The 12,913-nt window shown below is 41.9% G+C and overlaps 1 protein-coding gene across 4 annotated transcripts in view, besides 3 other annotated features; it reads left to right on the top strand.

Moving 5' to 3' along the window:
• The window catches only part of PRDM1 (PR/SET domain 1), a 117,249-nt gene that overhangs the window by 81,377 nt on the left and 22,959 nt on the right, over window positions 1–12,913 (top strand). For 2 of the 4 annotated variants that reach the window (NM_001198.4, XM_047419247.1), the window contains exon 1: window positions 12,270–12,529. The exons of the other annotated variants lie outside the window; for them this stretch is intronic. In NM_001198.4, coding sequence (NP_001189.2) covers window positions 12,488–12,529 — 42 coding nt within the window. In that variant the 5' untranslated portion in view covers window positions 12,270–12,487. Of the gene's footprint in view, window positions 1–12,269; window positions 12,530–12,913 lie in introns of those variants that run through there. 4 annotated transcript variants of the gene reach the window in all.
• Window positions 6,464–7,010: an enhancer, noted in NCBI's record as "NANOG hESC enhancer chr6:106528405-106528951 (GRCh37/hg19 assembly coordinates)". NCBI's record gives its function as "activates a minimal SCP1, AML or CMV promoter by ChIP-STARR-seq in primed H9 embryonic stem cells {active_cell/tissue: H9 hESC(primed)}" and the evidence as "EXISTENCE:reporter gene assay evidence [ECO:0000049][PMID:30033119]".
• Window positions 10,651–10,720: an enhancer, noted in NCBI's record as "active region_24877". NCBI's record gives its function as "activates an Ori minimal core promoter by ATAC-STARR-seq in GM12878 lymphoblastoid cells {active_cell/tissue: GM12878}" and the evidence as "EXISTENCE:reporter gene assay evidence [ECO:0000049][PMID:35858748]".
• Window positions 11,898–12,617: an enhancer, noted in NCBI's record as "NANOG-H3K27ac hESC enhancer chr6:106533839-106534558 (GRCh37/hg19 assembly coordinates)". NCBI's record gives its function as "activates a minimal SCP1, AML or CMV promoter by ChIP-STARR-seq in primed H9 embryonic stem cells {active_cell/tissue: H9 hESC(primed)}" and the evidence as "EXISTENCE:reporter gene assay evidence [ECO:0000049][PMID:30033119]".

Raw genomic sequence — 12,913 nt, forward strand, 5'->3', positions numbered from 1 at the left:
GAAAATTGCAAAGGAGTAAAACTGAAAATGGAGAAGGTAATTACAAGGCCACTATAGCATCTTAGTGGTTAAAATTGATCTATGGTAGTGAGAATAAAAAGTGAAACAACATTCCATTTCCAGAGCTTTTTGGATTTTGTTATTGCAGATGAAATGTTGTAGGCCTATACGCATAACTGAGTGACCAAAAGAAAATTACTTTCCCTGAGAGTCAATTTCTTCCTTTATGAAATTAAGAAATCCAGTCTCTAGGGATTGTAATTTCCCACGTACCAAACACTTGTGGACTTCCCACTCAAGTTGCCAGTTCCTCACAGCATGTTGTATAATAATTTTAAAATACATTACTCATGTATGTTTGATCATTGCATTTTCTGATTTGCATGCTCCCCAAGGGTTGTTTGTATTTGTTCCCAAACTAGATAATGCTAGTTATAATTACGTAACTTAATTAAATATTATATAAATCAATGACATATAAGTATTAAGAGTTGTTTCCATTAAAACCAAGTAGAACTCTTTGGAGAGGCTTGGTAAATACTGGCTGAAAAATCCTGTAATTGAAATAGATGAAACAACTATAGAATATTGGGTTGGGGGACGAGGGGGGATATAAATATCGGAGAGGCCTGGTGCCTTGGCTCACATCTGTGATCCCAGCACTTTGGGAGGCCAAGGCGGGCGGATCGCTTGAGGCCAGGAGTTCAAGACCAGCCTGGTCAACGTGGCGAAACCCCATCTCTACTAAAAATACAAAATTAGCCAGGCATAGTGGCACGCGCCTGTGTTCCCAGCTACTCAAGAGGCTGAGGCATGAGAATCGCTTGAACCTGGGAGGCAGAGATTGCAGTGATCCGAGGCCTTGGTCCTGCATCAAAGATGGGAGAGTTGACATATTGTTTCCAATACTGTATAATGTTTAAGGTTAATAGTCATCATTTTAAAGAAGCTCTAACTTAACTGTTTGTATAGTTTAAAAACTATTGGTCCCAATTGCATTGGATAAGAAAGCATCAACCATGTTGATTATTGACCAAATTAGGGGGGAATTTTTTTTTATTATCATAACACAACTTGATTTGTGTTATCAATATTTCTTAATATATCAGCATACCTTATATTTTGAAATTTTCTCTAAGACTGTGTTTTTATGAATTGAGCCGTATTTAAAGTAAGGACAGTCTATTATTTTCAGTGGCTTCATTTCCAAAACAAACAATTTTCAAAAATCCTCATTTTCCTATATTAAATTAGATTTCTGGGAGCTGAAGTAATATTTTAGCCATGGTTTTAGTTCTGATTCTTAACTAATTCTATATATTTTGAGACAATTGTATTTTTATTCTGGTGATCTATGGCATTCAGAATAAGAACATTAATATGCAGCAACAGTAGCTTCTTGAGAAATGCAAGACATTTTCAAAAAGCTTTACATAGCCTTGTATTAACCATAAAATGTCCTTGGTTCTGATCATCTCTTCCCTGGCCCTCAGGGGCTATTGTGTTTGTTTTCCTGTAGGATCACCCTCATTTTTTCACATAGTGAGAATCTATCACCATCAGATGCTTATTAGGATTTCTAGTTGAAAGAAAACTATACTTTTAATAGAGTGTAGACTTTCCCTTTTCAGGTAAAGTTGCAGCAAGCTTCTTTTTCTTTCTCTTCTTTTTTAAGAGCTGGGGTCTTGCTATGTTCCTCAGGCTGGTCTTGAATTCCTGGGCTCAAGTGATCCTCCTGCCTCAGTCTCCAGAGTAGCTGGTACTACAGGCATGCGACACTGCGCACAGCTAGTAAGATTATTTTTCATCACCATACTCTTATTCCAAAATCAAGGAAGTTGGTATAAGACCATAATAAAAATCACTACAGGGAAAATTAAAAAAAAAAATTTTTTTTTTTTTTGAGACAGAGTCTGGCTCTGTTGCCCAGCCTGGAGTGCAGTGGCACGATCTCTGCTCACTGTAACCTCCACTTCCCATGCTCAAGCCATCCTCCAACCTCAGCCTCCCGAGTAGCTGGGACTACAGGTATGCGCCACTACACTTGGCTAATTTTTATATTTTTGTAGAGATGGGGTTTTGCCATGTTGCCCAGGCTGGTCTCAAACTCCTGGACTCAAGGGATCCTCCCACCTTTGCCTCCCAAAGTGCGACATCCCAAAGTGCTGGCATTACAGGCGTGAACCACTGCACCCAGCCTGGTAAAATCAAATTAAAGTATGTAAAACTCTAAATACATGATTGAAGTCTTAGGTGGCACTAATATTGAAGAATCAGCAAAATAATGGAATTGTACTAAATTTTGTATACAGAAAGAATTTAGAGTGATAGTGCCTGTAAAAACTAGATTTGAAATCGTAGTATTTTGTGGAGAAGGCTTTTGGGGAATTGGATGGTGTTGATTATGTTACATCAGTCTTTTAAAAAACATGTAAGCTGTTACTTTATTAGTAGAAAAAAATGAAGCATTTTTCTCTGAATAATTTAAAACTATGTAGCACTAGAAAAAATAATCCCAGTTTAAATTTATTAGATCTGAATTAATATTATATGAGGAAGGCATACTGCTTAGTAAAATGCAATTTTAGACTATATTACTTAAGATGTACAACTGTTTCCTACACACAAACAAATGGATTATATGCAAAATGGTTGCATAACTTATTTATCTTTGTTTTAAACTACTCTGCACATCCTAAAACAATTTTGCAATCAGAATTGTATCAGCCCACTAAGCAACAAGGAGTTTGTTTTGTTAATTGCTCTAGTTAAACCTAATTACTGTGGGTGGAGTGGCTTTCCGTGAAAGGGAGGAAGGCCCTAAGACTGGCAGGAGAAAATTTTAGGAAGAAGTCCAGTGCCAGGAGTGCAGATGGCTGAGTGGACAAAAGCAGACCCCACAAGAACTGTGTAAGTCACTTTCACTTGGAAAATCTATTACATTTGTTTTTAGTGGATGAACTTATTTTCAAATGCTGTTGTCAGAGGTAAGTTCTTCCCATTCCCATAAACATGAACATCTTAATGTCTGTGGCTCCTGCCCTGGAACATGTTTTTTGAAGTCCCATAAACAAAGGCTGAGCAGCAGTCTTATTTTCTCTAGAAAAACAGAAAGTACATTCAGAGCCCACTACAGTGCTCCCTTCACAGATGGGAGCTGAGAACCATTTTAATTGATTCATTCGGCACACATTAATCAACCATCGATCACACCACCAGGCACTGTGCTAAGGGCTGGGTTTTCAGATACCGATGATTATGTATAGCCTGGTAGGTAGAAGACCACAGAGACAGATCATTGTCCAGGAGGATGAATCACAGTTAGAGCATGAGCAAAAAAGTGGTATACATGAGGAAATGGAGCCCAAGGCTCCCTGTTTTCCATAGACACTGCCTGAACTGGAAGCCAGGTGTCTGGGGCCATGCCTAGCACTGTCACCATCACCCAGCAACTCTGTAGCAATACATGTACTTCAATAAACCAGGACTGCATGTGGACTTCTTGGCTGTATCTTTGCTTTTTGGGACTTCTGAAATTAAAAATGTTTCCACGAATGTCTGAAGTCATATGAATGAATGTTTAATATACATAACAGTTTGAAGGATAATTTCACATGCTGTGTTTTCATTCCTAATGGCATTTTGGAAAACCTTCTGTCTTCTAAAGAATGGGGGAATATCATCACTGGAGAAACCTTTTCTTTGTCTGGCAGAACCTTCTTCTATTAATGTAAACTAGTTGTTAATGAAACAGAGGTCAATAAGGAAATAAATCTTTGATTTGTTTAAATATCTTCTGCACAGAACATCAAGACAAATGGGTGTCCCTTGTCTGAGGAGGAGAAGGCTTTGGGAGAACATTGAGTTAAGCAGTGAGGTAACTGTGATGAGATCTTTCTTGCTCGGTAAATGTGTTTACTTTTTTCACTGGTATTTATACTAGTTAATGTGTTGCTCCAGATAAATCTACTTCCTGCGTCCATCTTTCAGCTTGTTCTCCTCTCTTGGGAGTTGACAAATGGTTTGTGTTTGACACCATTTATCAGCTGAGTCCCTGCTGGGTGCTGCCAGAGGCTTGCTCAGACTACTGTAGAGAAAAAGTGAGTACGGTAAATTTGTATTTCTAGTCCCTCTGTCTAGAGGAGGGTGCATCGCGCAGGAACAGATTCAGATGGCTGCAAGTTTTACCTCCTGGAAGACATAAATTTTCAGTCCAAAATAAGCTCTTAATCTTCTCCTGGTGGGATCTCTGTAAAATGGAATAAAATGAGACCCAGTTTAGAATTTCCTCAGAAGGGCAAAATTAAAGGGTGACTGCTGTCATATCTTTGACACCCTGAAAGTGCCTTACATTTGGGGAACACTGAAAAAACATGTCCCCCAAAATGACTGCAATCGCAGAGACTGCTGCTTTTGATGGAGCAGGATAGCAGCCAGATGCCTTCTTTGTGTTATATCAGTGCTTTTGAATTTAACATTCATTTATATTCATGCAAAGGGAATAAACTTAAGTTAAACAGCATGGCTGGGCGCAGTGGCTCACGCCTGTAATCCCAACACTGTGGCAGGCCGAGGCAGGCAGATCGCTTGAGCCCAAGAATTTAAGACCAGCCTGGGCAACATGGCGAAACCCTGTCTCTATCAAAAAATACAAAAATTAGCTGGGTGTGGTAGTGGGTGCCTCTAGTCCTAGCTACTCAGGAGGATCATCTGAACCTGGGAGGCTACGGTGAGCCATGATTGTGCCACTGCACTCCAGCTTGTGTGACAGAGGGAGGCCCTGTCTCAGAAAAGAAATAAAATAAAAAATAAAACAGCGTGAGGGCCTTGAGTAGATCATTTGGGGTCTCTGGAATTTAAAGTTTTATTTTAAAAAAATTATTATTATTATCATTATTATTATTATTATTTTCAGACAGAGTCTTACTCTGTCGCCCAGGCTGGAGTGCAGTGGCGCGATCTCAGCTTACTGCAACCTCTGCCTCTCGGGTTCAAGCGATTCTCGTGTCTCAGCCTCCCGAGTAGCTGGGACTACAGGTGCCCGCCACCACGTGGGCCTGGCTAATTTTTGTATTTTTAGTAGAGACGGGGTTTCACCATGTTGGCCAGGCTGGTCTCAAACTCCTGACTTCAGGTGATCCACCCACCTTGGCCTCCCAAAGTGCTGGGATTACAGGGGTGAGCCACCGCGCCTGGTCTATTATTTTTAACATTTAAAAAAACTGTTAAAACAAGGATCAGTGAGGGAAAAAAAAATAACTGAAGAGAATGGTATAATGCACCCAGTACCCAGTTCAACAATTACCAACTTAAGACCTGGGTTGTTTCATCTATCCCAACCCCACCCAATGATTTTGAGGCAAAGGCCAAAAAGCATATAATTTCATTGATGAATATTGTATCTTGTATTTCTGTAACACAAAGATTTATTTTAAAAGAAAATCAACACAGCAGGGTGCAGTGGCTCACACCTGTAATCCCAGCACTTTGGGAAGCTGAGGCAGGCAGATCACTTGAGGCCAGGGGTTCAAGACCAGCGTGGCCAACATGGTAAAACCCTGTCTCTACTAAAAATACAAAAATTAGCCAAGTGTGGTGGCACGTGCCTTTAATCCCAGCTACTCTGGAGGCTGAGGCACAAGAATTGCTTGAAGCCAGGAGGTGAAGGTTGCAGCCAGCCAAGATCATGCCATTGCACTCTAGCCTGGGTGACAGAGCAAAACTCTTTCTCAAAACAAACAAACAACAAAAAAAACCCAACACGTGATTCATGATGGTTGGAATTGTTAATTCCAGTATTGTATTTTAAAAGGACAGGTTATTAACCACTCTTTAGGCTATTGAGCAGGGAAGAGTGGGAAGAGATAGCTCTATAAAGATTTTTCAGCATTAAAAACACACCCAGGGGCCAAGATTGAATTGCAAAGATGATTTTGCTCCTTTCTTGGATTCTAGGAGATTCTGGAAGGAGAGCACATGCAGGTAGGCGCCAAATTGGCATTTAAAGCTCTGTTGTTTAGATAGAATTACATCCTTTGGGGTGTTGGGTGAGAATGAAGGCTTTACTCTGCCTAGCTGGTGGTGGCAGCGTAATTAGTGAGATGTCAGCTACAAATGAATCAGTGAGGCATGCACTCCCCACACATAAGCACATGCAGATTTGGCAGCTAGCAGTGATCTAGCAGTTGGATCCTAAGTGTGCCTCGTGCCACTTGTTGAGCCTAATGCAAAGTGCAGTTTAATCACTGATGTGCCCGTGAGCATGATTAGCTGTTAACCGATTAGTGAACTGTCTGAGGCCCCAGAGTCATTGATTTGGACTCAGCCTTCTGTTCCACGCCCCCCACCGCAGCCCCCAGCATCCTTCCTTCTCCTCCCCTCAATCTATGAGGAAGAAAGGAGAAGGAGAAGAGGAGAAAAGGTCCAGATGGGAAGAAAAGAATGCTGAAAAGATCCTGTAGGAAGTAGGTCAGGTACTTTGGAGATTAGCTTGCTTCATCCCTGAATGCGAGAGCCAGGCACAAGTAGCATACAATTAGAAGGAATTAGAACAGCAACAAGTAGCTTGGATTTATCAGCTTTAATTGTCTATTGTCAGGACAGAGCTCTCCTCCCAGGGATCATGGTGGCAGTACACATCCTAATACTTTTAATGGACATCCATTGTGGGATTATCTCTCCTAAAGGCAGTGCCTGTTCTCTTCAAAGGAGTTGTGGGGATCCTGCCTGAAAAGCACCAAACCGCTCCTTCCCTGTGTTTGGTCCCATTCTAGGGTAAAGCAGGGTTGCCCTTCAGTCCTCCAGAGGTGCACCTTAAGGGGGCGGATGCCTACTGAACAATAACTCCTTTGCCCTGCTTCCCCGGGGTGCCTGCTTGAAGGAAACAATGGGCTGTAGATGGAGAACAGATAAGCCAGGGCTGATGGCTTCTGGATCTCCAGGCTATCTTCAGGTTAAAAGGTTTCCCAGCTTTTCCTTAGTCAACATTAGAGAGTTGTTCAAAAGATAAGGTGTCTATTAAATGAGGTTTGTTATTGTCTTGCCTTTGCCTTCTCTTTCCTCCCTCCCCTCTCCACCTCTCAGGTGGGTGGAGGTGAAGGACAGTCATGCCTTCTTCCAAACTCAGACACGAATTTGGTTTAGGCGGGTTGAACTTCTTCTGGTGTCACCACCGGTTTAACATTTAAAAGGTTCTCCAATAAGCGCAGCCCCCTCCTCCTCATTTTTAAGTCCATGTGTACCTTAGGTCCAGTAAGTGCTTAGGATCCATTACAGAACCCTGAGCTTGGCTGGAAATCTGAGAACCAAGTTCTGATTTTGCTCCCTGAGCTGCAGCCCTGCCTGTGGGCTGGCATTTCCCAGGTTCACAGTTCTATGTTAAGATCCAGTTACCAAAAAAGAGTCTGGGAGAGATGCCCTTTCTGCTTCCTGACCTCTGGTCCTCAGTTTCCTCAGCAGGAAAATGAAGTGTAGAAGGGGATATATGGTCTTCGACTTAGATTGGATACTAAATCCCCTTTGGAGCAGAATGGGAGTTGGGGGCTGGGGGTGGTCAAATGATTTCACTATTAACCTTTATGATTCTGTCTCTTCTATCCTAACTTACCTTGGCGTGAAGAAAGTCAAGCCTCTACAGTCTTGTTCTTCCCTTAGAAAGGATGAGAAGAAATCGTCAGTCCCATTTTAAATAAAATCACCTGTGTCCTTTGGTTAATATTCTGTGATTTCAGGGAAGCACACGGTGGCAGGTACAACTGTAGGGTCCCTTTTCCTCTTCCAAGGGGACTGCTCCTCCCTGCACTGGGTCTTCTGCTGCTGTTCCTGCTCATCCTCCATAGAAGCCTTTCACCTTCATTTTTAAGCCAACTGGTCCTCCCTAATCTTATTCTTGGCGACCTTCCCTTTATTTCCACCTTGAGTCCTCCCCTCTTCCAGAATGGCTTCTCCTCCCACTGAAAGGTGAGAGAAGCAAACATTTGACCCACAGTCTTGCTCTCTCATTTGTGTGGAAGCTACTCTTCCGGTTCTCCAAATAAAGACAAGAGATGAGTTTCAGAGTGGACACCTTTCCTATTGCTCTTTTTCTCCCTTGTTAACAGTTCAGGTTTTGCCTTCTGTTAGTTTAATTTTAGGATTATTCCTTTTTTCCCACCAGCTGTAAGGTTAGGAAGTGTCTTCTGAGTTCTGAAATAATCTTCCTTCTCCTGTTCTTTCCCACAGACTTCTCAGAAATTAAAATTCTTCTGTCTGAATATTCACTATGATAAAAATATAATTAGAAGGGAAAGCAAATTTTGGAAACCCCAAACCTTGGTTTCCCCACAAGTCATCTGGAAATGATTAGTATTGCTATTATCATTTATTAAGTTGGTAGATGCTGAACTAAAGGAATAGTTTAAAAAATAATTTTAAAATCATATATAAATGATTAGATGAGAATACAACTGTCTTTCTGAAGGGAGGGCTAAAAAAGATATTAATACTTAGATGTAATGATACAGGTGGTTCTATAAATACTCTGAGACCTTGGACATCCTGTGGGTTTTATAAAGTCCTCTGGAGAACACTTACATCTTCATTCCTAGGGTGGGAAGGGAGCTCTACTTGTGTTCTTGAATTTACTTAATTTTTGTTTCCCTTATGTAGGAAGTCAAAACACTGACCTCATTCCAAAACATCCAACAGCCCCTGAAGGTCACCGTCCCAATGTTTAGGCCCTGAATATGTTTGTCAAAAGTTTTTGGGAGGTGAGCTGTGTCATGAGAAGGAAGCTTGTGCTATTTTTAAATTGATTCAACTCATCATCGAAACATATCGTACACATATCACACCAATGACACACACAGGCTGCATTGTAACATAGCATGTGTCATACATATATTCTCTCTCACTCATACACACATACTCGCTCTTCTTGTCCGGCTTTTAAAAAGGAAGGCAGCCAGAAGGCCAAGCCCAGTGATTTGAGTTGAAAAGGCTGTTAAAGTTTAAAAACCAAGTGTCCCTCTAGTTCTCAGCCTGGCTTTGAGACATGTGGGAGGGCTTCAAAGCCTCAGTGCCCCTCTCTCAGGCTCAGGCTTACAGTTGGTCCCCAAATGTTTACCAGCATGAAGATGCCTAACTTACAGGAAGCGGGAAATGGGTGTGGGGGGTGAGGGTGGGTGGGTGGTAGGGAGTAGGAAGAAGAGGGTGGGGGGGTTATTCTCTTGATGTGGTTAGCCTGTCATTGACCTTGTTTGGGTATGGCAGGAGTTGAATGAGAAAATGAAAACATGTTTCATCTTGGGTACATTTCATCCCTTTTTTTTACCTTAGGAAAAAAAAGTTCCTTTCGAAAAAAAAAATTTTTTTTCCCCAAGTGGAGTTCAGGTCTCCAGATTTGGTGCTCAATTTCCCTTCATTCTACAATAGTCCTTTCCCTATAGAGTCATCTGGCCACCAACATTGCAATTCCCAATCCACCCAGGAACTGGGAGAGGAAAAAAACTGGCCCAGTAGCTGAAACCGAATTAAAATTGGCTGATGGAACTGTTGTGATGATGCCATCCACGGGAATAGATGAGAATTTCTGAGAACAGAACTATTTGGCTCATTCATGATTTGCTGCCATTGTGAACACTTTTAATGTGAGAGCTCTGCCTGAGAAATGCTGATTAATAAAGATAACTGAGGTTCTTTTCGGTGTTCTAACTTGGGGGGAAATAATATAGTGACTAAAAATGCACCAAGTTATTACTTAGAAACAAACCCTTTGAGACATAAGATTCCAGACAGTGGCAGCCTCTGATAGCTCTCTCTGCACAGCTGTACTGCTGCCAGGGTCTCCCAGCTTTAGTCAGCAGTAAAAAGGTGCACTGCTCAGGCCCTCTGGGAGGACCGAGTGAAGTTCAGAGGTCAGTCCCTTTTATTCCCCCTTAATGGTTTTGTGCTGGACAATACCTAAATATTACAATATGGACATGTTTTTTCCTATTATGGAGCAAGCTTCCTTTCTTTTATTTCTTCTTCCTTTTTGGTAGCTTTCATTTTAAATGATGATATCCATCATTGACTACTATAATCATAGTCAAAAGTTGGTTTGGAGGTTTTTTTTTTCCCAATCACTTTGAGACAAGAAGCAAACATGTGAAGGACTTTACATTCCAACACTCTGTGTCTGAAAATTTACTTTCCTTAAAGTTCTACCCGTGGCCTTGTCCAGCTCAGCTGGGACACCTGGAACTAATTTTAGGGTTGCCTGGCTAAGCCCCACACTGGTATTTGAAGTTTGCGTCCTCCCTAGACTCAAGCCCATTTCACCACCTCTGAAGGTGAGTGCAGGCTGATATTAATTAACAGTGAGTTGATTCACTGGCATCTTCCAGTCATTAAAGCAAATATTTGGCTTAAAATAGCCTTCTTCCCACCTCAAATATCAAACTTTTTGCCTATTCCCTTACTCTATCATGGTTGACTCACCAGCAGTTGCATGATGGTGTATGTGGCCTAAGAACAGAGTTTGATTCTAAAAGGGAAGTGAAATACTCTTTAACATCTGCAAGTGAGACTGTTTGAACAGCAGGCCAGCCTTCAGTATGACTACATTGTTTTTCTGTCCATTGTGGTGCTGACTCAGCATCAGTTAATAAACCCTCTTGAGCAGGCTGGATTTCTCTTGTTTAATTATCAGCTTGGAGCTTTCTGAGGACTCTTAGGAATTGTTCATTCAGTTTTCCACCCCCAGCAGATCTGCCTTCTAAAAGTCCTGCTTCCTCTTGGTGCTAGCGTCCCCTCTGGCATAACATGCAATCACAGGTGGGCCACGCAGCAAGCAGCGAGTGTGTGCTAATCATGTCCCCTAGTGGGAATTTAATTGTTCTGTACTGAGAGAGAGATTGCAGCAAGACTTTAGACACCATTTCCTGGCAAATAATCTTTTGCCTCTCCCCCTCTCCCCTAAAAAAAATTCTAGAAAAGTTTTCTAAAAGTGAGAAAAGAAATTTTAAAGATAAACAGACATATTTTTTAGGATTGAGTTGGGCTTTTGTTTTGCTTTGTTTCATTTCTTCCTGTAAACAAATACTCAGATGTCCATTTCATTGTATGACTAAGTTGGTATCATTAGGTTGGAACTGGGTGTGTGTATGTGGGTGTGTGTGTGGGTGGATGTGTGTGCACACGTGTATTTAAAATGTTAGAAAAGACATTGCAGGTCGAAGGAGAAATGATTTTAAAAAAACCTACCTATGGTAAGGCAAGCAGGAAAAATGGAAGACCTGGATTTCAATGATCTAAATAATAATTGAAATGGGGTGTTTGCTATAAACATTGTTTCTCTGAATTAAAGGATTCCTTGCTGAAGGCACAAGACCATTGAAGGAAGTAAAGCATCTGGTTTGTTTTGTAATGAGAAGCAGGAATGCAAGGTCCACGCTCTTAATAATAAACAAACAGGACATTGTATGCCATCATCACAGGATGTCCTTCCTTCAACAGAGGACTGACTGGGCTGGAGGAAAAGCTGGCCGGGGCTCAGAATAAGCCCCACTAATTACTGCCTCCGACCGCTTTCCACTTGCAGTGATCAGTTCAATATTCCTCTGAACTGTGAAACGACTAATGCTCTACATTTTACTTACACTCCTGGGAAGTCAGCCTGTGGGTTCTGGGAGGAGAGGAAAGGAAAACAAACAATCTGTAGAATTATAACTTTTGCCTATTTCCCTATTTACTAAATAGTTAAAAGAGGAAAGTTAGTTCTGCCAAGTTTGAACGTTAGCAGGAGAAACGGAATGTTACAACTTTTGGGGCGGGGGGCGGGGAAACGTGCGTTACATACACAACAGCTTGAGGACCAGACAGCTCCACTGTATTACACTAGCTGCAAAAACAATTTAACTTGCTCTTTTGAAGTAAGATTTGTGTCTTTTGTACCTGGGGATTTGAGCTGAGAAATCAGAAACTGTGTAGGTAAATTTTAAGTTTCCTTAATTTAAGGAACGTGCGCCCCCTAATTCTGCCGCGCCAGGAAGGAGGGCGATCTGGAGTGTTTAGAATACAATAGAGCCCAAGTAAGCGTTGAGGTTAAGTGCCTTCAAAGGGAAGTAAGAAGATTCCAAGTCAATGTTGAAATACACATGCGAAGAGAGGAAGCTCTCGGCGGCTGTGCTAGCAATCTGGGGGAAAGCCCTGGGCTCGGCCAGGTGGTGTTGGCCACGTTGGCCACGCCCCCACTTCGCGCAGCCGAGTGGCTAAGGAAATCTTAAGCAGGGAGGGGAAGCCAGACGGTTAACACAGACAAAGTGCTGCCGTGACACTCGGCCCTCCAGTGTTGCGGAGAGGCAAGAGCAGCGACCGCGGCACCTGTCCGCCCGGAGCTGGGACGCGGGCGCCCGGGCGGCCGGACGAAGCGAGGAGGGACCGCCGAGGTGCGCGTCTGTGCGGCTCAGCCTGGCGGGGGACGCGGGGAGAATGTGGACTGGGTAGAGATGAACGAGACTTTTCTCAGATGTTGGATATTTGCTTGGAAAAACGTGTGGGTACGACCTTGGTAAGGAACTTGAATTTTTTTTTTTTAATTCTGAAATTGATCTGAAAACTTTATTTTCTTTTCCTTTATTGTTATTATTATTAATTTTTTTTGGCTAATGTCGCAGTAGAAACATGCTTCTGCTTTAGTGCACTTAGTGCTGTCAAACATTTGTGAGACTTTCCTTATGAATCATTAACCCTTTCAGTTCTAGACATAATTGCCAATTCATTGAAATTTCAGTAGTGGTTCCAGCTCACACTCGTCAAACTATTCCGGGTTGGCTGAAGTTTTCTATTTTATTTTATTTTTAACATGTGTTTGGCGTCATGACTCTACATGTTGGAACTAAATAAAAATAAGCAGGTTTGCTTAAATCATAACTGAGGGAAAAACAACTTTGCA

This window comes from Homo sapiens, chromosome 6 (assembly GCF_000001405.40).
Source record: "Homo sapiens chromosome 6, GRCh38.p14 Primary Assembly".
Taxonomy (NCBI): domain Eukaryota; kingdom Metazoa; phylum Chordata; class Mammalia; order Primates; family Hominidae; genus Homo; species Homo sapiens.